Source organism: Homo sapiens, chromosome 4 (assembly GCF_000001405.40).
Source record: "Homo sapiens chromosome 4, GRCh38.p14 Primary Assembly".
Lineage (NCBI taxonomy): Eukaryota > Metazoa > Chordata > Mammalia > Primates > Hominidae > Homo > Homo sapiens.
The window spans coordinates 6853751-6878030 of NC_000004.12; the positions used below are offsets into that span (position 1 = coordinate 6853751).

Sequence of the window (24280 nt, forward strand, 5' to 3'; positions counted from 1 at the left end):
GCTTAATAACTAAGGTCCAAGTTGAGAAGGATGGGAAGTATGGAGAAGATGGAGAAATACTGGAAATGTTGTAGGGATGGGAAGTGATAGGAATTTGTCAGGGAACAAATAAGACCCTCATGAAGTAATAGGACACCAGTTGCTGTGTTTGACCAAGGCTCAGTCTCCATCATCATTTAACTCTTCAACCCCACCCCACAGCCAGGAGCAGAGAGTGTAGCAGTAGCAAGAACCTAGCGTTGGTCAGAGAGAGAAGGAGCAGGCCATGAAGTCCAGGGAGAATCCAGAGGGGTTTTGGTGGTATGCATTAGGTTAATTATCTTTTTACTCCTCCAACCTCAAAATCAAATCATAGCAAAAATTAAAGACATTTTTGAAGTGATGAATCAAAAAACAAGATTGTAGAAAATTAAAGACGTACAAAATCTAGAAATGACACCAACATTTAAGTGACTAAGGTGACAGGGACTCTGGATGCCTCACATGTGTCATGTTAGCTTTTTTTTACTGAATCTTGGGAGGGAAGTGGTGGCATTCTTGGGTCCAGAAAGAGGAAGTGGCACACATGCCCTTTGCTGCCCAGTGAATGTAGCAGGGCAAGAATTCAGACCCAGGCCAGCATGACTCCAAGCCCCAAACCCAAATACATTCCACTGAGTCCTCTTCTCAGAGAAATTAGAGTGATTATCATGTAAATCTCAGGAGGACAGGGGTCGTCATAACCATTTGTTCACTGGGTGCGTGAATGAGCCAGTGCATGGTAAACTAGTGGCTGGCTGTCCATGCATTCTGAGGGTTGCTCACTGAGCGTGTCCTGAAACTTGCCAGCGTCTGTATGTGGCTCGCCACTTTGCAGGTTTGGAGTACTGTAATTTGAATTTTAGAGTGCTCTTAACGGTTTGCAGAGTGTTTTACATGTGTTGGATACTGGAAGATGGGTGGATATTATCCATTTTACAGTTAGGAAAAGCAATTCATGAGTTCAGTGGTGGAATGGTAGCATTTTTTTCACCTATAGCTTGTGCTTCCTTAGAGTTGTTATTAAGATATAACTTAATCTTTCTTTGTTTTTTAAGATACTATAGGCTCTCAAAATATTATTGAATGGCCTTATGGATATGCTATGCTACTGAAATTTGATTATTAATATTTTCTAATGGTTTATATAATTGGGAAAGTGAATAAAAATTTCTCATTAAAACTGTAAATTAACACTTTGGAACACCTGCCAGGAGACAACAAAGGGTGATGACAGCTTCTGCTGTGCCTCTATGCTTCCCAGCTTGCTGTGATGGTGACCCAGGGTTCTCATGATTTTTTATTTTTTATTTTTTATTTTTTTTTATTTTTTTGAGACCGAGTCTCGCTCTGTTGCCCAGGCTGGAGTGCAATGACGCGATCTCAGCTCACTGCAACCTCCACCTCCTGGGTTCAAGCAGTTCTCCTGCCTCAGCCTCCCAAGTAGCTAAGATTACAGGTGCCTGCCACCACGCCCAGCTAATTTTTTTTGTATTTTTAGTAGAAACGGGGTTTCACCATGTTCGCCAGGCTAGTCTTGAACTCCTGACCTCAAGTGATCCACCCACCTTGGCCTCCCAAAGTGCTGGGATTACAGGTGTGAGCCGCTGCGCCCAGCTGATTTTTTAAAAAAATATATAAGATGCTACAGGTAGTCAAGAAAAGAACAGAAAAACCTGGTTGGTAGAGCTTGCTTTTACACAGAGAGTAAGGAGTAAGCTCTTATTTTGCTGTTTAAACATGAGAGCAAAAAAAATATATGTTTATATATGACAGCAAATATATATATATCACTCATATAGTATACATATTTACTCATATATTAATAAATATATGTGTGTATATGTAATTAATTTCTAAGACAAAGCATGAAAAAATACGTAGTCACTAGGTTGTAATGACCATTCTGATTAAATGGGACCCCATTTTAGAGTATTGGAAGACGTTTAATAAGTGATCCCTAGAGGTTCAGTGTTCTGCATTGCGAGACTAGCCCTAGGTTTAGAAACCTAGTGACATAGGCTTGCTGTACAGAACAGTATGCAGTGTGTCAGCTGACACTGGTGTTGGTTTCACGATCCGAAGGAAATGGAATATAATTGCCGTCCTTGTCACACCTTGAGCATTATGGTAAGCAGGTGCTTTCTGGTGCAACTGTTTGTGGTTGAACAGTGTTTATGACTAATATCTGCCATCGTTTTTAAGAGTGTTTTTAAAGGAAAGGGCAACTCTTGTCTGGCCTATTTTTCTATCTTCCTATTAAAACCTGTGGTATGACGTGGACAGAATGTAACTCTAGATGTTTACAATTAACTGTTTTCATTGTAATCTGTTTCTTGCTACTCAAACTGTGTAACCGTGGGATTTCTTATGTAGGATATCTATAATATTTGTGCTGAGTCATTTTGAGTTAAGTGAATGGGGTAAAGTTCTATTTTTAGCCCGTCAAGGCCTAGTGAGGGCACTGGCTTAGCAGAACTCTCCATCACGCGCATCTGTTTGGGTTATGCCCACCAATAAGGACTTGATTCCAGTTTAAATAGGACTTTGGTCACTGAATAAATCTAAAGTTTCTGAGAAATACATTGACTTTTTTTGTCCACTGTAAAAAAATTTTTTTTTCTTCCTGTGAGAAATTGAGACTCTTAAAAGTTAAAGTCTACTAATGAAAGATTATTTGCTTGTGCCTGTTTTCTACATTCATTTTTCTTTAAAGGTTGACTCTTATTTTTACCCTCCCAAATCCAGACTCTTCTATGTACTCTCCTTAAATTTTAAACTCCCAAGCTTTGTATAGAAGTCGATAATCTGGTCCAGATGCTGAAAAGAAGACAAAGCTTTCACATTTGCAATATTGGCTTCATTTTCTGGACTTCTGTTGTTTTAATCATGAGTGTTCATGTTTCTTTAAAACAGAAAAAAAAAAAATCACCTTGTTTTCTTCAGGGTGTGAGCTCCTAGAGAACTAAGATGAGGTTTTGTGATTTTCCTTTGTTTTAAGTCTGGTATAAGATCTCGCTCACATAAATATTTAATACTCTTTTTGATGGTGACTGACTTTTGGTCGTATGATGGACATTTAGGCCCTTAAATCTGCCCCATGAGCAAGATGACACACCTTTGGAAAAACAGAAGCTATTCTGGGAGGTACATGAATATGTTCACATTTTATCACTAAGTTTCATTTAATATGCCTTATTAGTAATAAGCATGTATACCAATTTGTATCTACAAACCTATAATTTTTAAACTGTAGTATTCACGTAAATATTGGTAAGATATTTATTTTGGAATGTGGATGATTTGTAAAACCTGTGTATTAAAACAAAAGTATACAAATACCTGATTTGTACATACCTGGCTGTAACCTAATGTGTCTTTTTGTTGTCATGCAGAGCTCTGGTATCGAGACTTTAGTGGAGGAGCTCTGCTCCAGACTGAAAGACCTTCAGAGTAAGCAAGGTGAGGTCAAAAGCACTGTGCGCACACATGCCAGGATTACATCCCTGAGGAATCTGGATTGGGGAAAATCTTAGAATTGATCAGAAAAGAAAACAACCAGAACAAAGTCTTTGTGTCCAGTGTGTGTCACTAGGCCAGCCTCATGCTCCATCTGCAGCTCTGTTAGTGGCTTCTGTGTCAGACCCAGCAGTCACTCATAGAGATTCCTGCAACCAAGGGAGGGACTTAGTCCACAGGTGCCCTCAGAGATAGGAAACACTTCATGGTTTTCTGTTTTTTGGGTTTTTTTAATTGTTGTTGGCTTCAAGTTGAAGCTCAGAGATCAGGAACAATATTGTCTCTTTCCTTTCCCCATCCTTGCCCCTCTGTTAATATCTGCCTGTTGATGTTAAGACTGCTAAATTACGACATTAAATTAAGATGTTAAGACATGAATTACTTCAGGTTTGGAAGGGACTTCTGTTTTGACTCAGCTTTTTTGAAAACACAGACTTGGCAAGCTTATTTAGTTATTTCGATATATGAATCCTCCTCATACTTTTTCTAACTTGTTTGCAATCCCTAAGAACGAGACCTTCATATTAAGGGTGAGGATCCTTGTTTCCTTGCCCTCTTTATGGTCATTTTGCTGCCCACCAAGCCTTGAGCCTGCCTCTTAAGGGCACAGTTGATTTGTAACCTAAGGCAGTATCCTAGGCTAAACTAAGGGATAGCCCTTTTTCCTGTTTCAGTTGAAATAGCCCTTGCTCACCTACATGTTAAGTAATAGAGCAAATTGTAATAAAGAATATTCTTTACAGATTAGTTTTGGTCAAGATGAGTCAATGTAAAGTCTATGAGTGTAGAATTTTGTGAGAAAATAGTTTTGGAATCTAAACAGATGTTCTGTCCTTCTGGTCTAATTAATAAGTACACAGGGGACTTCAGTCTCTTAATTAAGTGCCTCTAGAGCACTGTATCAGTGACGAGATGAACAACTCTCACCTCTTGGCCTAATGCTAATGTGGTTTAATCGGAGAATTCCCTCTGGCACACTGAAAAAATAGATTTTTATTAAAAAGATCGGTATTGAGTTTGCCTTTTAAGCACCAAAGTCTCTATTTCTTGTTAAAATTAGTTGAGAAACTTTGAAATACATTAGCATTTATTAACTAGATATAAGACAAATCTTTCTTAATTTTTGTTTCATAACAGAAGAGAAGATTCACAAAAAGTTAGAGGGGTCTCCCTCTCCAGAGGCAGAATTATCCCCTCCAGCAAAGGATCAAGTGGAAATGTATGTAAGATTGTATTCGGTAATAAAGTGTGCATTTGTTAAAATCAGATGAATAACTGCTACATGGTTTCCGTTTTCTGTTTGTCATCTTGTTTAGTTTCATTATATATAATGTAAGAAACATTTATCGAGCGCTTATATGCTTGACACTGAGAATTCAAAGGTGAAACAAGATGGTTCTGTCCTTGGTGTTCATATTCAATATTTGTGGAACAAATGAGTGAAACATAGAAGGTTATTATTTGCTAAGTCTATGTATGTACTATTACCTTTAATATTCACAACAGCCCTTTGAGACAGCTGTGAGAAATTAGGATTATCAGCCGGGCACAGTGGCTCATGTCAGTAATCCCAGCACTTTGGGAAGCCAAGGCAGGTGGATCACCTGAGGTCAGGAGTTTGAGACCAGCCTGGTCAACATGGTGAAACCCAGTCTCAAATATTAGTTGAGCATGGTGGTACATGCCTGTAATCCCAGCTACTCAGGAGACCGAGGCAGGAGAATTTCTGGAACCCGGGAGGCAGAGGTTGCAGTGAGCTGAGACTGTGCCATTGCACTCCAGCCTGGACGACAGAGCGAGACTCTGTCTTATTAAAAAAAAAAAAAAAAAAAAAAACAAGAAAGAAAAGAAATGATTATCCATGTTCACAAGCAAGAACACTGAGTTCCCACTGTTTACTGCAGAGGGAACATAGGCAATCCTTGACCTGCCAAACCTGCTTCCTAAAGATACTTTTATTTTTTTGTTCGTAAATAGTCTTAAAATAATCTGCATTATAAACAGACTTCCCTATTATACATTTTATTTTAATCTTTCGAACCTCTGAAACCTAAGAAAAAAATAGCATTTCCTTGGTTTGTATAGACCTGTATTATCCAGCACAGAAGCTGTAAGCCATGTGTGACTACTGAGCACTTGAAATGGGGCTGGTTCAAACCGTGATGTGCTGTCAGTGGACAATTCTCATTGGATTTCAAAGACTATATATAAAAAAAAGTAAAGTATTAAACATTTTAAAGTATTGATTACATGTTGAAATGATAATATCAGGAGTTTAGTTAAATATATTACTGGAGTGCATTTCACCTATTTCTTATGTTTTTAATGTGCCTACTAGAACACTTAAAATTACATATGAAGCTCAAAATATATTTCTGTTGGTCAACTCTGACATAGACTGAGAAAGAGAATCAAGTTCAGGCCCTTTGAAAACATGGCCTTTTACCACTTCATGTGTGACCTTGAGCATTGCCTCTGAAACAACAGTCCCCAGTAGCCAATGTGACTTTAAATTCTGCCCTTTGCAATCTGTTCTGCTCTGAAATCTTCAGTGGCCCCCAGTTTCCTAGCAAATCAAAAATACTTTCTCATTTTCAAGCCCCCTGAAACCAGCCTCCCTGGCTTTTTCTACGCTGCATTTCTGGTGATCACAGCTCTAGTTAGTTTTCCATTCTGTGAGCATAACATGTGTGTCTTGGTGTCCTCACACAGGCTCTCAGGCCTCACAGGTAGTACTCACTAAACTTGTGGAATAAATCTGGAATTTCAAGGCTCAGTTGTGGCCCACTTTAATTGTTGTAGGCCTCACCGACATCCTCTTTCTGAATACTTGAATGTGATCATTCCTACCCTTTCTGAGGGCCTGCTTCAATGCCAGGCAGTATGCTAGCAGTTACGTAAGAAGCTGCTGTTCCAACTCATTTTGCATATTAATTCCTTTACTCCTCACAACCCTGAGAGGTAAATATTACTAGCTCTATTTTGTAGGTGAGGAAACTGAGCTATGGAGAGGTTAAGTAACATGCCTAAGGTCACACAGCTAGTAAAGCAGGCAGAGCCAGGATTTGACCTCAGAGAATGTGGCTTCAGAGCTCATACTCTTGACTGATTGCTACCGAGCTTTTTAACCGCATATATTTTCAACGCTCACAATAACTTTGGGAGGTAAGTCATAGGATCACCATTTTGCAGTTGAGGAAATAGTCTGAAGCAGTAAATAATGAGCTTAAAGTCGCAAGCAATAGTGACTTAGCTGAGATTCAAATTCAGATAATGCTTACTGAAGAGACTGCATTCTTTCTTCTACTATTTGTCCTTTTTGACTTCTTAATTAAAATGCAAACTTTGAAGATAAAAACTGTCATCTTACATATTTTCTCAGTAATCTTACAGTGCGTATCACAGTGCTGAGCAAAATGGTGCTTGATGCATGGGACTAATCTTAAGCATATTTTACTGTATTATAAATTATTGTAAAGTTAATGATTCTTGGATGATGTGAATGTTGACACTACTAAAATGAAATATTCCATTCTTCTGGTTGGTAATGTTGTTTTACTGTATCTAAAAAATCTGCATACTCGTGTTTTGAAGTCTTTACTCTGTTTTTCAGGTACTATGAAGCATTTCCACCACTTTCTGAGAAACCAGTTTGCCTGCAAGAAATCATGACTGTGTGGAACAAGTCTAAAGTCTGTTCTTACTCTAGCTCTTCTTCATCATCCACAGCCCCACCAGCTAGCACAGATACTTCCTCTCCTAAGGACTGCAACAGTGAAAGTGAAGTCACCAAGGAAAGAAGCAGTGAAGTACCCACCACTGTGCATGAGAAAACCCAGAGCAAAAGCAAAAACGAGAAGGAAAACAAATTTAGTAATGGCACAATTGAAGAAAAGCCTGCTTTGTACAAAAAGCAAATCCGACATAAACCTGAAGGAAAGATTCGCCCTCGCTCGTGGTCTTCTGGCTCCAGTGAAGCAGGCTCAAGTTCCAGTGGGAATCAGGGAGAATTAAAAGCATCCATGAAGTATGTTAAAGTAAGACACAAGGCACGAGAGATTCGAAACAAAAAAGGGCGGAATGGGCAAAGCAGGCTTTCTTTGAAGCACGGTGAAAAGGCTGAAAGGAACATTCATACTGGAAGTAGTAGCAGTAGCAGCAGTGGTTCTGTCAAACAGCTGTGCAAGCGGGGTAAGAGACCTTTAAAAGAAATAGGGAGAAAAGATCCTGGGAGCACTGAAGGAAAAGACCTGTACATGGAGAATAGAAAGGACACAGAGTATAAAGAGGAGCCCTTGTGGTACACCGAGCCAATTGCTGAATATTTTGTTCCTCTGAGCAGAAAAAGTAAACTAGAGACCACATACCGAAACAGACAGGATACAAGTGATCTGACATCAGAGGCAGTGGAAGAATTGTCTGAATCAGTGCATGGTCTTTGTATCAGCAACAATAATCTTCATAAAACATACCTCGCAGCAGGTACTTTCATTGATGGTCATTTTGTAGAAATGCCTGCAGTTATAAATGAGGATATTGACCTCACTGGGACCTCATTATGTTCTCTACCAGAGGACAATAAATACCTGGATGATATTCATCTATCAGAATTAACGCACTTCTATGAAGTGGATATTGATCAATCCATGTTGGATCCTGGTGCCTCAGAAACAATGCAAGGAGAAAGTCGGATTTTGAATATGATTCGACAGAAAAGCAAAGAGAACACAGATTTTGAGGCAGAATGTTGCATAGTGTTAGATGGTATGGAGTTGCAAGGGGAACGTGCAATATGGACAGATTCTACCAGCTCCGTAGGTGCTGAGGGCTTATTCCTGCAGGACCTTGGCAATCTGGCTCAGTTTTGGGAGTGCTGTTCATCCAGCTCCGGTGATGCTGATGGGGAGAGTTTTGGAGGAGACTCTCCAGTTAGACTCTCTCCCATCTTAGACAGCACAGTGCTCAATTCACACCTGCTTGCTGGCAATCAAGAGCTCTTTTCAGATATTAATGAAGGATCTGGTATAAACTCTTGTTTTTCAGTGTTTGAAGTGCAATGCAGTAATTCTGTTTTACCATTTTCTTTTGAAACACTCAACTTGGGAAATGAAAATACAGATTCTAGTGCTAATATGCTTGGGAAAACACAGTCTAGATTGCTAATATGGACCAAAAATAGTGCCTTTGAAGAAAATGAACACTGTTCTAATCTTTCAACAAGAACTTGTAGTCCATGGTCCCATTCAGAAGAAACACGTTCAGACAATGAAACATTAAATATTCAGTTTGAAGAATCCACACAGTTTAATGCCGAAGATATTAATTATGTAGTTCCTAGAGTCTCGTCAAATTATGTAGATGAAGAACTTCTAGATTTTTTGCAAGATGAAACTTGCCAGCAAAACAGTAGAACTTTAGGTGAGATTCCTACATTAGTTTTCAAAAAAACATCTAAACTAGAATCCGTCTGTGGTATTCAGCTAGAACAAAAAACAGAAAACAAAAATTTTGAAACTACACAAGTATGTAATGAAAGTCCACATGGAGATGGCTACAGCTCAGGGGTTATTAAAGACATTTGGACAAAGATGGCAGACACAAATTCTGTGGCTACAGTAGAAATAGAAAGAACTGATGCTGAGTTGTTTTCGGCAGATGTAAATAACTACTGCTGCTGTCTAGATGCTGAAGCTGAACTGGAGACCCTTCAGGAGCCTGATAAGGCTGTGCGGAGGTCAGAGTACCATCTGTGGGAGGGACAGAAAGAGAGCCTGGAGAAAAGAGCATTTGCTTCTAGTGAGCTATCAAACGTGGATGGTGGTGATTATACAACACCCTCTAAACCCTGGGATGTAGCCCAAGATAAAGAAAACACATTCATTCTTGGAGGAGTTTATGGAGAACTCAAAACCTTCAATAGTGATGGGGAGTGGGCAGTCGTACCACCTAGTCACACAAAAGGAAGTCTGTTACAGTGTGCAGCTTCTGATGTTGTGACGATAGCTGGTACAGATGTCTTTATGACCCCAGGAAACAGTTTTGCTCCTGGGCACAGGCAGTTATGGAAACCCTTCGTGTCATTTGAACAGAATGATCAGCCGAAGAGTGGGGAAAATGGGTTAAATAAGGGATTTTCTTTTATCTTCCATGAAGACTTACTAGGAGCTTGTGGCAACTTTCAAGTCGAAGATCCTGGACTTGAATACTCATTTTCTTCCTTTGACTTAAGCAATCCATTTTCACAAGTTCTTCATGTAGAATGCTCATTTGAACCTGAAGGGATTGCATCTTTCAGCCCCAGTTTTAAACCGAAATCAATCCTCTGTTCTGATTCAGACAGTGAAGTGTTTCACCCCAGGATATGTGGTGTTGACAGAACACAATACAGGGCTATTCGGATCTCTCCTCGGACTCACTTTCGCCCAATTTCTGCATCCGAACTGTCCCCAGGAGGAGGAAGCGAGTCAGAATTTGAATCTGAGAAAGATGAAGCAAATATTCCCATTCCTTCTCAAGTTGATATATTTGAAGATCCGCAGGCAGATCTCAAACCTTTGGAAGAAGATGCAGAGAAAGAAGGCCATTACTATGGAAAATCAGAGCTTGAGTCTGGAAAATTCCTTCCCAGGTTAAAAAAATCTGGGATGGAAAAGAGTGCTCAGACATCACTGGATTCCCAGGAGGAATCAACTGGGATTCTTTCAGTAGGAAAGCAAAATCAGTGTTTGGAATGTAGCATGAATGAATCCCTGGAAATAGATTTAGAAAGCTCAGAAGCAAATTGTAAAATAATGGCACAATGCGAGGAAGAAATTAATAATTTTTGTGGTTGCAAAGCAGGTTGTCAGTTTCCTGCTTATGAAGATAATCCAGTTTCTTCGGGACAGCTGGAAGAGGTATGTGTCTGCGTGTTGGTATTTGACAAAAGGATTTGATCAGAGTTTAACCCAAGAACAGACATGCCAGTCAATGAAAGATAGGGTTAAATTATTGGGAAATTAGCTTAAATGTCTTAAAACTTAAATTGTTCTAATTTTACATGTAAGGACTTAAAATGGATTTGATATTTATGAATTTGAACTAGACAGTAGAGTTTTTCTGGAGAGAAAAAGCTTTTAAAAATCACAGGATGTAAGATTCCTATGTGTTGTCTTAAGATGCATGTTATTGGCCGGGTGCAGTGGCTCACGCCTGTAATCCCAGCACTTTGGGAGGCCGAAGTGGGTAGATCATTTGAGGTCAGGAGTTCAAGACCAGCTTGGCCAACATGGTGAGACCCCGTCTCTACTAAAAATACAAAAATTACCCAGGCGTGGTGGCAGGCACCTGTAATCCCAGCTCCTTGGGAGGCTGAGGCAGGAGAATCACTTGAACCCGAGAGGCAAAGGTTGCAGTGAGCCGAGATCGTGTTCTGTACTCCAGCCTGGGTGACAGGGTGAGACTCCATCTCAAAAAAAAAAAAAAAAAAAAAATACATGTATTATGCTTAAAGCAAAAACCTAACATGAAAGTGTTCTAACATTCAAAGTTGATGAATCAGGAAGTGGCTGCTATTAAAGTGTAGCAAACCTGTCTAACTGACTCTTAGAAGTTGATCACTTTATCAAAACTTGTGTTTTACATATAAAACAAATTATATCTCTATGGAGTTCTCAAAAATACATTGTGGTACATGTAGAAATTCACCCACAGCCCAAATGCAACAAAATTTCTTCTACAGAACCTATACAGATGTATCTTGCTTTATACAAAGTACATATTCCAGAAGCTGTGTGGATTATATGTTAAGGCTATGGAATGAGGATCACATTAAGTTGTGTTAATGAGAGTCATTGTACCTCTCCACTGTATGCCCAAGAAATGGCTTAAGGTTAAACTGATTGTACAAGAAATAACACTTAAGACAATAAACTGTTTCACAAAAAAAGCACAGCAGTCTGCCCATTTTTCCACTGTTTTCGATATGTGAGTGCCTAGCCTTTCTCCAGAAATAGTTTATTTAATTTTGTTTTTGTTTTTGTTTTGTTTTGGGGACAGAGTCTCGCTCTGTCGCCCAGGCTTGAGTGCAGTGGTGCGATCTCAGCTCACTGCAACCTCCACCTCCCAGGTTCAAGTGATTCTCCTGCCTCAGCCTCCCAAGTAGCTGGGATTAAAGGCATGCGCCACCACGCCCGGCTAATTATTTGTATTTTTAGTAGAGACGGGGTTTTACCAGGTTGGCCAGGCTGGTCTTGAACTCCTAACTTCAAGTGATCCACCTGCCTTGGCCTCCCAAAGTGTTGGGATTACAGGCGTGAGCCACCGCGTCCGGCCCAGCTTATTGAAAAAAAGAGATGGAGGTGTTTAGAAGCCATGCCACCTGTGGCCAGAGAGCAGATGAGTGTTGCACTTCCTCCCAACTGTCCTGCACACCCTACCCACCATTGCACATCCAAATCCTACCCATACCATGAGACTTATTTCATATACCACCTCCTTCACTGACACTTTCCCTAATTCCCTCTCTCCCCTGCTCCAGCCCCACTCTGCATCAGAATTAATTTTGCCCCTCTCTTAATTTTCATGCACTTTATGCCTCTTTTTGATTGCATTTTTCATTTCTCATGAGTTATTTATATCCTGGACTATAAGCTCCTTGTGGCTGTGGACCATGCCTTACTTATTTGTCGCATCAGAGTGCCCAGGTGTGGGACTGCTTGCCTGTGATTCTAGGAAGCCCCCAGGCGACTTGAGAGGCACTGCTCTAATCAGCTACCTAGAGACCCGTAGAGGATGAATTTAATCCCATTGAAACACTGCTAAGAAAAAACCCAATAATATTGTTAGCCTTTATCTGTTTGTTTATTGCCCCATTTTTCATCCTTAAATATTCCTTTATGTACTTTGTATTTCACCTGGTTCCAGATTGGGAAGAAAGAAAAAGAGGAAAGAAGCAAGATTCTACATCATACCACTACCATATTCCTTCGCTTTCTAGTATGTTGATGTATTTATGTGTTATCAGAATTCCGGGTTTCCTTGAAAGGTCTTAGCTGCCAAAAAAATTCCCAGAGGACATTTTGGGATTGTCTGATAGTTTAGATGTTGTCAGCACTGCTCTCTCGGCAGCATTGTTATACTTTAGAAGCCAGGTTGAAGCTTACTTCATAGATTCATCTGAGATGTGCAGGAGGCTGAGTGACCTGAAGGGACAGTTTGGGGCCAGCCTGGGACTAGAACCTGTATCTTTCTGTTCTGTCACATTGCTTGGTCAGTCTGAAAGGTGCTTTTAAGAGGATGTGCTTCCGGCCCTTTTCCTGAGTCAGTACAGTCTTTTCAGGAAGCAATCTGGGAGGCCTGTTTAAAGATCAGTAGAACCCCATCTGTTTCAGACTTAGATGATGAAAATGTAGGATTTCCGATAGAACTGGTGTCTAAGAGCATGAAAATAATATGATTATTTTCAAAAGTTTAGTTCAATTCAGCAAACATTTAGTGAGTACCTGTTTACATGCCTGTTGCTAAAGTAGGTGTCCTGGATGAATAAGACTTTGTCCTTGCCCATACAGAATTCAGCGTAGTGAAGATGACCAACTTGTACCATGTTACTTATTTTAACTGAAATAGGTAATTTATTCATATGGTTCAAATTCAGAAGTTACAAGTGTATGTGTACATACACAGTGAAAGGTTTCCTCCCCAGCGGCAACCACTAGTGTGAGTTCTGATGTATTCTCCAAGGATATTTTTTGCGCGTATTAACAAGTAAATGTTCACATGTATTTCTTCCTATTTTTTCTTTTTGCTGAAATGGTACTTTATTGTAATCACCCTTCCTTTTTTTATTTTCTGCACACTATTCCATCGTATGGATATACCGTAATCTACCTAGTCAGTTCTTTATGTTTTAGGGCATTTGACCAATGCAGTTTTAGGTGCTGTAGGTAGAATGGTGGAGGGGAGCACAGAATGCTGTGGGAACCTGCAGGAGAACCCTTCCAGCCTGTGAAGGTTGAGGAAGGTTTCTTGAGCATATCTGAGTGTCCAGAGTAGAAGGACGGAGGCAGGGCAGTCCAGGCAGAAGGAACAGCAGAAGCAAGGGTAAAGAGATTTGAATCTGCTGATGTGTGCAGGGCAGCTGTGAACAGGGATCTCACGGTCTCTGGAGTATAAGCCATACGGTTAAGAGTAGCACAGATGAAGCACAGTGTGCCTTGGTATCTGGACATACATTTGTGGTGAAAATGTTCTTGTCGTTTCTTTGGTTGCCAACTTAGTACCAAGCACCTTGAGGCACAGAAAATAAGCAAAAGGCTTACTTGCTGTCTTCAGGGAATTTCAGTCCACTCAGGAGAGGAGCTCACTGTGCTGTGGAGGTCAGCAGGTCTGGAGGGACAGGAAGGCTCTGATGAGTAAAGAAGGAGTGAGGGTCAGGGGTCATGCTGGTGATGTGCCACCCGGCACATCTATGTAGAGGCTTCTGTCACCACTATCCTACTGGATGCCCATGTAGACCTCATGCGGTAGGTTATTTTCCCCACTTCTAAAGACACATAGGCTCTGAGAGGTGAGACAGCTGCCCCAGATCCCAGTGTGGGGGACAGGCAAAGCATTTTCCACCACTCTGCACCTCTGTGAACTGAGGAAGACTTAGACCAGCAGTTCTGTGTCTCTTGTTTGTCTCTGTTGCACTCAGTATCTCTTCATTGATGTTTCATTTCTTCCTTCCCAGAGAACAAGGTACATGGAAGTCTTGCTTTTCCTGGTGTGACCCAAATGAGAGCTGATTGTGGCAAAGGGGCAAGATTCCCAGAGTAAAACTAAAACCAAGCACCTTTCTCTTTACCCAAACTAGGAGTATTCTGTGAGAATTTACAGCTGTGAAGCCTTTGTTTCCTTCACCCAGCTTCCACCTTCTAAAGAATTTCTCAATTTTACATCTGTTGCTAAAAACATTTCTGGTTAGGCTTTTTGGATTAAGTTTATGTCTTCTTTTCACTGTTTCATTCATTCATCAAGTATTTCTTATGTACCTGCTCGGCCAGGTACTATTCTTGGTGCTGGGAATAAGTAACAAAGCTCTTGGTGCTGGTGGAGTCACATCCCACCTTGGGGAGCTGACAATAAACATGTTAAGTTATATAGTGTGTTACAATATAAATGCTGTTGGAAAGGAGGATCGCTGGACGAGGGGCATTGGGTTTGGGAGTGATGGCAGGAGTTTGCTGTGTTATGGGCGGTGTGAGAGCAGGCTTCCTCGCCAAGGTGCAATTTAAGGAAATACTTAGAGGTAAGAGAGTGAGCTGAGAGGATGCCTGGCAGGAAAGGGAGGGCAGCACTGAGGCCGCTGCTGTGCCTGCCTGTCCATGACAGCGACCTTCTGATCCGCTTTCAGCTTCCTCCATTGTCTCTTCATTCTTTTCATTCCCAGCCACAGCAGAAGTTGAATTAATACATTCGATGATGTATTAGATGAATATAGCATGATCCAGCCTAAAAGTTATAAATGAGTGGAGAGATGTCATAACAAGATGCATATTCCTTGAATATGTTTAGTATAAAACGGGACAAATAAGTCCCTGCCATAGGAATTGACATTCAAATGGAGGATGCAGAAAAAAGACTCCCAAATTTATGGTAGAAACTGGTGTGCCCTTCACAGTGGTTTCAGCAAGAGAGAGAAGAAATGATGTATGAGATAGTCAGAGACTGTTGGCCTGGCGGAAACTTTTCTTCACGTCAGCAGACACTGAGTATCTGCTTTGTGCGGGGCCCCATACTTGGGAATGCAAAGATGAGGAAGACGTGGTCCCGCCCCTCAGGAAGCTTACAGTCGGGTTCTGCTGGGATCTAAACTCGTCTTGGTTCATGCTGCCCCTGCTCCCAGGTTCCTGGCCCCTCTAGCCTGCTTTCCCTGACCTGTCCCATCCCCCACCATGAACTCACTCCCTTTCTTGATCTTAATCCTCAAGAAAGGATGAAAAGATAAGCAGTGTATTTAAACTGATCATTCCTGCAAAGAGCTTTTTCTTTCTCAAATAAGAACCTGTTAACCTCTAAATCCACTTATCTTCAATAGCGCCTTAGGGAGGTGATGGAGAGAGTTCTGGCTGGGGCACCTTCCTTGCTCCCCCTGAGTAGCACTAAGTAATCTCACAGGACAGGCAAGGCCTTTCTGAAGAGGTCTTAGAGTGCAGGGAATTGCATGACAGGTGCTGTTAGCCACCTTGGAAGAACTGCAGGCCTTGCGTGGTGCCACCTTGTTTGCGGGAAGCCCAGCCCTGTCCATTCCCCTGGCCCTAGCATCTGTTTATCTAATAGCAGTACCAATTTTTATTGTTAGGATAAGTTGTAGGAGAAATTAGCAAAGGTTAACTGACTGCTGTGGGTAGACAGTACAATTCTTCTTCAGTTTCTGACTTAGGAGTGTTTCCGAAAAGTTAAGTGAAAACAAAAGTTTGAAGTGTTTCCCTTTTAGTTACATAACAGACACTCATTACGGAATTGAACAGTTTTAGACCCATAAATAATTAAGTTAAAAGCATAACAAAATCCTGTTAGGAAACTGATGAAAAATTTGTTTCTAAAACACTTTAGATTTTAAACTTGAACACGTAGTGAAATGTCTTTTAAAACAATGAAGATGGGTGCAGTGTTCACAGGCCTCTCCACTAAGCAGATGTCTACTGAGAACACAGTATTAGGGGATGTGGGTGGTAGAAAGATGCAGTGGCCAAGCCTCACCCTGGGCGAGCTGGGGCAGGCTCACTCTCTCAGGCACAGTGAGGAAGGCACACTGAAGGGGGTTGCCCTGACTGCCAGCATGCCAGGTATACATGGTGACTGAAGCTGCCACAGGTCTTCTATTGACCACACTACAAGGACTCTTCTTGGTCACTGATGACAGCTGTTGTCTGTCTGCCATTGGCCACACTATCCAGTTCTCACTGGCCAAGCAGGTGGGCGGGGCCCAGCCAGGACTTGAGAATCCCACTGGGAAAGGACAGAGCCTGGGTTCAGGCTAGGTCCCTCTTCTGGGCCTGGGCAGCTTCCAGATGTGAAGGATATGAGTCTCTCCCGCTCTCAGGAATCATTCTCTCATCTCATTTGGATGGCTATCTCCTATTTTAAATTTGAATCATGGAATTTGAATTTGTAATTTGGTTTTAGCCTTAGTTTCCTTCTGGTTCGCACCTAAGCAAGATAATTTTAAGACACTTAGGTCAATAACTGTGCCTATAAGAATTTCCTTTGGGCCAGGCATGGTGGCTCACGCCTGTAATCCCAGCACTTTGGGAGGCCAAGGCGGGCAGATCACCTGAGGTCACAAGTTCGAGACCAGCCTGGCCAACGTGGCAAAACCCTGTCTCTACTAAAAATACAAAAATTAGCCGGGGTGGTGGTACATGCCTGTAGTCCCAGCTACTCAGGAAGCTAAGGCACGAGAATCATTTGAACACTGGAGGCAGAAGTTGCAGTGAGCTGAGATCGTGCCACTGCACTCCAGCCTGGGTGACAGAGTGAGACTCTGTCTTGGAAAAAAAAAAAAAAGGAAGTTTCTTTGATTCCATTTCTTCTTTTACTTACTTCTGCCTGAATGTATGAGGGAGAAGAGGGTTCCCCCTGTTCTCTTCAGAGCACCTCATGCCAGTAAAGGCTCAGGGCTTCCCCATTACCTGTATGCACTTGGGGAATCTAGAAGTTTGCCTTGCTTGGGAGCGTTTTTATTACATTATATTTTGGGCTTGTAAGAGTTTTTTTAGTTAAGATTTTCATGTCGCTTCCCATCTAAGTACTTCTTAAGCAATACTTTCTTTATACACTGTGAACACGCTGGCTTTTAAAATGCACTTTTTTTCAGAACATTATAAAAACTCACCAGTTGGCTGGGCATGGTGGCTCATGCCTGTAATCCCAGTACTTTGGGAGGCCAAGCTTGGCAGATTGCTTGAGCCCAGGAGTTCGAGACCAGCCTGGCCAACATGGCGAAACCCCATTTCTACAAAAAGCACAAAAAATGAGCCAGACATGGTGGTTCCCGCCTGTAGTCCCAGCTACTTGCAAGGCTGAGGTGGAAGGATCACTTGAGCCCTGGAGGTGGAGGTTGCAGTGAGCCAAGATCGTGCCACTACACTCCAGCCTGAGTGACAGAGCCAGACCCTATCTCAAAAAGAAAGAAAGAAAAATCAAAAAACCTCACCAGTTTAAAAGTTCTGGGTTTATAATCTGTAGTTAATAATGCTTGAATATTCTTCCTCTAACCTGAAAGTTTATAAACTTTTTCTGTATTTGGTTTAATCTAAACAGTTCCCTGTATTGAACACTGATATACAAGGAATGAATAGAAGTCAAGAAAAACAGACCTGGTGGGAAAAAGCCTTGTACTCTCCTCTTTTTCCTGCATCAGAGTGTGAAGGTAAGGAGACCTTTGTTAGTTCATTTATTCATTGCAATTTGTAATTTGTTAAGAGCAATAATTTCTTTTTCTATGAATATCAGTCCAAGAAACATTTACCAAGAGGTTTCTGTGTGGGTAGCACTTTGTCATGCACTGGGGACACAGGGAGGAATGAGAACTGGGCCCTGCTCTGAAACAGCCACAATCTGATGGAGGGGAAAGGCATGGAAATATATCCAAGCGTTACTGACCATGGATGAGGTGTGTATAAGCCACCACTGAGTCACAGAGGAGGAAACAGCGGGCAGTCCCTGTGAAGAGAGTTGCCTGCACAGAGGCAGGAGGGTCGCCGCCAGGGGAAAGCACAGGGCTCCATGGCTCAGCTGAGTTGTAGCTGACGCGGGAGAGACAGACAGGGCAGGAGCCTGTCAGAAGGTTTGAGGGCTTGGCTAGGTTAGGTAGCGTCTGACATGCAGGAAGGGAATGCCGTTGACAGGATTTAAATTGGAGGTTGTCAAGGTCAGATGTTGTTTAGAACAATTCTAGTAACAGAGTGGAAATGGAATTGAAAAACTGAAGGCTATTGGCCAGGGTTTTAAGCCCTTGCAGTAGTTTGGGAGGCATACGCTAAAGGTCTGGACTGAGGCAATCAAAGCGGGGACAGAGAAAAGGAAACAGGACCGAGAGGTTTTGTAGAGGAGGAGTTTGTTGGATTACTTTCTATGAGGAGTAGTTATGGGAGTCTAGGTAGAGAGGGAGACAGGAGTGGGCGCTGATGCGGTGAGGAAGATTTTAGTTTAGGGTATTTTTTGAATGAGCAGTCTGTGAGGCCTTCCAGGTAGACACCCAGAAGTTGTTAAGAAACCCTGAATTGAAATTTTGGGAGAAGTAGGAACTAAGGATGCAACCAGAATTGATTAGCTCAAGAAGTTCAGCTTGTCCAGATTGTGGTCTCCTGGGCTTCTATTGGCTACCACATTTATTTAACACCAGTCTCCTGTCAGAGTCCCGAAGGGGTTATGCAAATCTCTTGCATTTAAATTTACGGGTTCACGTGTTTGTCACATCCCCTCAGCTAATTTGTAGTTAGTGTGGAGCCAAGTGACTTCTCTCTCACTAGCCACGATGCCCTGCACACGCCTGTGTTGTCCTCGGAAAGCCTCCCTGGCATCCCTCGGCAGCATGGGCTATAGCTGATGGGATGGAAGGCCAGCTTGGCCAGGTTGACTCTTTAGGAGTGGAGCGTTTGCTGTTCTCTGGTCTGTAGCCACAGACAGCTTCCCAGGACCCTGCCTTCCTCCTTCCCAGAGGTTCATCTGGGTCATAAGGAGAGCGTAGAGCTGAGTCTTCACTGTTAGCGTCTTCGTTGATTGAACAGCGTTTATTGAAGGCCCGTTGCTGCTGCCGCCCTACCATTAGCTCATATCTGGACAGCCTTGGTTGCGTGCAAGGTGCTCTCAAGCTTTTCTTTTACATAATTCCCACAAGAACCTTAGGAGATGCCCCCCGCTAGTTTTCAGATGAGGAAGCTGAGTCTCAAGTTTAGTACTGTAATTTGCCCGAAATCACACAGTTAACTATTAAGCATGGGCTAGAATGTAGGTTGTGATTCTTGTGGTCCAGAAGTTTTGCCCTCTACAGCAGCTGCCTGCACTTGGTACCAAGGTAGATGCCAGGGCAGTAGGAGTAGGACACACAGAGCTTCCCTTCATGTGTGTCCAGTCTGGTAAACTGGGCAAGTACAAGACACAGACACAGTTAATGGAATGAAGGTGGGATGTGGCCACAGCTGTGCCACAGAGGACCTCTCAGGAAGAGCTAGGAGGGAGAGGAGGATGCCACCTTGTGGAAAAGAACCAATTCCTTGCAGTGGCATAGGATGATTTTGAGACACAGAGTTCATGTTTCTTTAGTAAAGGGCAACCTTAGCACCCTTAGTCCAGTTTTCTGTCATTAGTTAGTAAAGAATCCAGTTTCACCTCTTAGCTCTAGGTTCCTGGTTATCTGTACAGTCTCTTAGTGGATACTGGTGTTTGTACATAATATTTTTGTTTTTACAGTGAAGTGGTATATAGAGAAACTCTCAGTGCATAAATACTGGTAATTATTTCTTTTGAATGACCTTTAGCTCACACTGTGAGTTAAGTCCCTGCATATTTGCCCTGTAGCATCATGAAGCATCCTTCTTTAGCTTATGTGGGTTGGGGCATTTAGTCTCAGAAGGATAGCCAAGAAAACAGGTAGTCACTTACCTACTCAGCAGAAGTGGCTGGGGACTCCTAATGCTTCTAATATTGGATATGATTCATCACAAGCAGTTGCTGCTCTGAGCCAGGGGCTGACCTGGGAGCTCACAGCATCTCTGGAAAGGAAGAGTAGCATTGTCCCCTTTACAGTAAGGCGAGGAAACAGGCTCAGAAAAGAGGCAGCTTGTTCAGGTAACCATATAAGAAAGCCCCAGCTTTGTGCAGTCTGCCCCCTGCTGGCCTTGCTGCGCATTCATATGTGCATCCCTTCAGCACTTGGGTTAGGCACTGTTCTAGACTTGGGAATGCATAGGCAAACAGATCGTGTCCCTGTCCTCCCCCTGCTCAGGTACCTTCTCAACAGGGACTTGAGGAAATAGGGCACAGACCATGTGACAGCTGGGGCTGCCTGCAGGGAGAGGTGCCAGGCAGCAGTGGCTTGTGCAGGGACAGGAATGCATTGGGTATGCCCCCAACATGACTGGCAAAGAAGGGATGGCATGGGAGTGTGGTGGGGATGAGGCCAGCCAGGCAGCTGGGAGCCAGACCACAGAGGGCCTTGTAGACTCTGTGCACCAGGAGTGCCGTCCCAAACAGCAGTCTCCACAGCTCACGCCCCTGGATTTTCAGTGCTTTCAAGACTCGAGTAATGTAAGCGTCTGGATGATTTTAGCATTAAAGACAGAGAGTCCTGCAGGGAAGCAGTACAGACAGGTGGTGAAAGGCCCAGGATTGAGAACTGTATTGGAATCCAGAGCTTCTTTCCCCAGCTATTAGGCTTTGGGTGCTGACTGAGCCTTTCTGTGCCTCTGTAGTCTGTATGTATAAAAGGAGGCTAGAAGAATGCCCTCATTGTAAGGTAAAGTGCCTAGAACAGTGGCTGGCATGTCATAGCCCGAAACAGGGTGGTGGTCAACTTGAGCATCATGAAGACTATCAGCAGCAGTTCAGCATCACCTTTTCCAAATACCCTGTGGCACAATAAAACCCTCTTGTATGTACAGAATTCCTAAAGCAGGAAGAGAAAATGAAGGAGTGGGGTGTGGAGATGGGCCTGCCTGCCTCTGAGCTATCCTTGTCAAGGAAACCATGTCCTATCCACTCCATGCCCCTCAGCCAGTATAAGTGGTGGCCATATGGAGTGGGCCATGGAGTGAGAAGTCAGCCAAGGAAAAGATGCCTCCTTAGGAGAGATGAAGCCAGGGTTCCTCCCAGCCTCAGCAGAGGACACATGGCATCCTCCCCAGCCGCCCTAGGGCAACCACGCCTCCAAGCCTATGGCTTTGATAAGCAGCGGTCATGGGTGCAATGTGTGTGCCCGGCACTGTGCTTGAGGCTTCACCTCTTTGAATTTGCACAGAAATGTAGGAGGGAAAATGGTGATGTTCTCATCTTAGAGATGAGGATACTAGGGCTCAAAGAGGTTAAATAATTTGTGCAAAGTTACATCACAAGTAAATAGCATGACCTGGAATTGACTGAAGTCTGTCTAATCCCAGAGCCTGGGGTATTCTCATGAACCTCAACTAGTAACTTGGAGTTCTTGGAGCCGTCAGAGAGAACAGCTGTGGAGAGTCTTCCATGTGGCCAGTGCAGCTGCAGGAAGCAGCCCAGCAGGGCCCAGATGGTCTTACCCTTGGCACAGCCTCGCTACTCTGTGCCAAGGTAGAAGGGCGCAGCAGTCACTTGCTCCAGCCTTGTCCTTTGGGGTGTTGTGCAAGGGGCAGGCATGTCATCTCGTCAAACTACCTTGTGGCAACTCTGTGGCAGGGGATGGGGGGTGTGATCTGGTTTTGAGGAAGTAGATGCTCAAGGGTGTTAAAGGACTTAATGCACCATGAATGTCAATGCCAGAGTCCAAAACCCTGGCCAAGTTCCTCCTTTTACTCTGCACTGTGCCTCTGCCCCAGCTATGTTTCTCATGGAGGTAAGGGGAGTAAGAGGCTGTTCTGGATGAAGACCAGCAGTTCTCAGTGCATTAGAATTGCCTGGGAGCAAATCTGCTTTTCAGAAAGTGCCCAGCCCCTGCCCAGGACAGTTCATTTGGAATCTCTGGCAGGAGTCTAAGCCTCTCTAAAGCCCCCAGATGATGAGAATATGCAGCCAGGGTTGAGAACTACTGGGCTCGTTGGATTTGTTTGATATCTTCTCATCCCAGTTTTTTTCCCATTTTGTGGGGCCATTTGCCTGATGGAATCGCTAGCACCATTTCTTTTTCCTATTCATAGATGTGATACATGGTTCAGTATGTTGTTGAGGAAGAACACACAAGGACGTGACCCTGTGTCGTTTCTCCATTGCGTTCCCTTCTGTCTGAGCTTCCTTTGTTCCTCTGTCCTATGAACGTGCTATGATGCACCATCTGTCTCCTCCATCCATTTGTTGTGGAGAGCATGGGCCCTGTGGGTCTCTCTGTCGTGTGTTCCCAGGGCCGATCACATTACAGGTGTGAATAGAAGCTTGTCCAATGAGTGCCTCCTGGTAGAATAACAGGAGTGTATGGTTATGCTGGCCTATTTCTTTTTTTAACTCACCAAACCAAGAATTTTTTGTCAGCATAGCGTTTTTTTTCTCTTACACACCTGCCTGGCTGTGCTTTTAGTGACGACTTAAAACCTCCGAAGGGTTGGGAGACCTAACTGATGTAGCTTTTTAGTGAAAAATGAAACAAGAATGTATGTTTCATAACTGTGTCTTAATGGAATTTCCCCCTTTCCCTCTTTTCCCTTCTCCATTCCAAATGATTAAGAATGTTACACAAATGCCAAGGGAGAGAGTGGTTTAGAAGAATATCCAGATGCTAAAGAGACACCCAGTAATGAAGAGCGCCTGTTAGATTTTAATAGGGTAAGTGGACTGTCCTCCTCCTCGTCATTAACTTACAAACAGCCACCACCTCCAGTTGTCACTGTAGTCAAAAACCTGGGAGTCATGTGAGTGGACCCCACCTCTCCCAGGAACCAGCCAGGCCTGTGGGTGCAGACTTCCTGTTCTCTGGCCTTTGTTCTGAGTCTGCATTCTCCCCCGCTTCCAAACCCCCTTGACTGTTGACTGCCAGTGCTTCCTGAAGAATCCCCAGCTCTCTCCCCAGTCTTGGCTCTACACTACTGCCCGAGGGCATTGCATTACAAATGCAGAGCTGACCCTGTTGCTCCTTGGGTGGGCACACTTTTCATCTTTTTTTTTTTTGTTTACCTAATAAGTGGGAGACCTAGCCTTGTCCTCTTTGAAAGTGCACCCTGAGGCAGCCTTGCCAGTGTGCTTGTTGCCGCTGTCCCGGCTTCTGCAGAACGATCCCGCCCTTTCCGTGTCCTCCTGCACTCTGTGCACGACTCTTCTTGCTGTAGCCAGAGCATGTACTTGCGTTCCGTTTCTGCATGTCTGCCTCTTCCACAAGCCTGTGGGCACCACGAAGGCGGGAGCGGGGCCTCCGCCTGGTTTAGTCTCGTCTTAGACCTTCCCCGGTTAAGAGGCAGGCAGGCAAATGAACCTAAGGAAAATTCTTTTTATTTGGTGTGAATTGTCAGTGTATTAGGGTTCTCCAGAGGGACAGAACTAATGGAATAGGTATATATATACACAAAGGGGAGTTTATTAAGTATTAACTCACACGATCACAAGGTCCCACAATAGGCCATCTGCAAGCTGAGGAGGAAGGAGAGCCAGTCCCAGTCCCAGTCCCAAAACTGAAGAACTTGGAGTCCGATGTTCGAGGGCAGGAAGCATCCAGCATGGGAGAAGATGTAGGCTGGGAGGCTAGGCCAGTCTAGTCTTTTCACATTTTTCTGCCTGCTTTATATTCTAGCCACGCTGGCAGCTGACTAGATGGTGCCCACCCAGATGAAGGGTGGGTCTGCCTTTCCCAGCCCACTGGATCAAATGTTAATCTCCTTTGGCAACACCCCCACAGACACACCCAGGATCAGTACTTTGCATCCTTTAATCCAATCAAGTTGACACTCAGTATTAACCATAACAAGTCCACCCCTTGTCAATTTGAACCCATACACATCTCCTGAAATTATATGTAATCTTCAAATAAAGACAATAAGGTCATAATTATACCTAACATAATACAGCTATGCTTCATACAACCGGAAAAGCACCAATCCCAAACCCA

General features: G+C 43.2%; 1 protein-coding gene across 24 annotated transcripts in view, besides 1 other annotated feature; it reads left to right on the top strand.

The window, feature by feature from the left end:
- The window catches only part of KIAA0232, a 101438-nt gene that overhangs the window by 71024 nt on the left and 6134 nt on the right, over positions 1 to 24280 (top strand). For 11 of the 24 annotated variants that reach the window (XM_047416446.1, XM_047416442.1, XM_047416444.1 and 8 more), the window contains 6 exons: positions 3414 to 3480; positions 4675 to 4756; positions 7151 to 10433; positions 12442 to 12513; positions 17824 to 17932; positions 22910 to 23007. In XM_047416446.1, coding sequence (XP_047272402.1) covers positions 3414 to 3480; positions 4675 to 4756; positions 7151 to 10433; positions 12442 to 12513; positions 17824 to 17932; positions 22910 to 23007 — 3711 coding nt within the window. Of the gene's footprint in view, positions 1 to 2050; positions 2149 to 3413; positions 3481 to 4674; positions 4757 to 7150; positions 10434 to 12441; positions 12514 to 17823; positions 17933 to 22909; positions 23008 to 24280 lie in introns of those variants that run through there. The other 13 variants (XM_047416450.1, XM_047416453.1, XM_047416452.1 and 10 more) reach the window with 5 other exon arrangements.
- Positions 20309 to 20468: a silencer, noted in NCBI's record as "silent region_15239". NCBI's record gives its function as "represses an Ori minimal core promoter by ATAC-STARR-seq in GM12878 lymphoblastoid cells {active_cell/tissue: GM12878}" and the evidence as "EXISTENCE:reporter gene assay evidence [ECO:0000049][PMID:35858748]".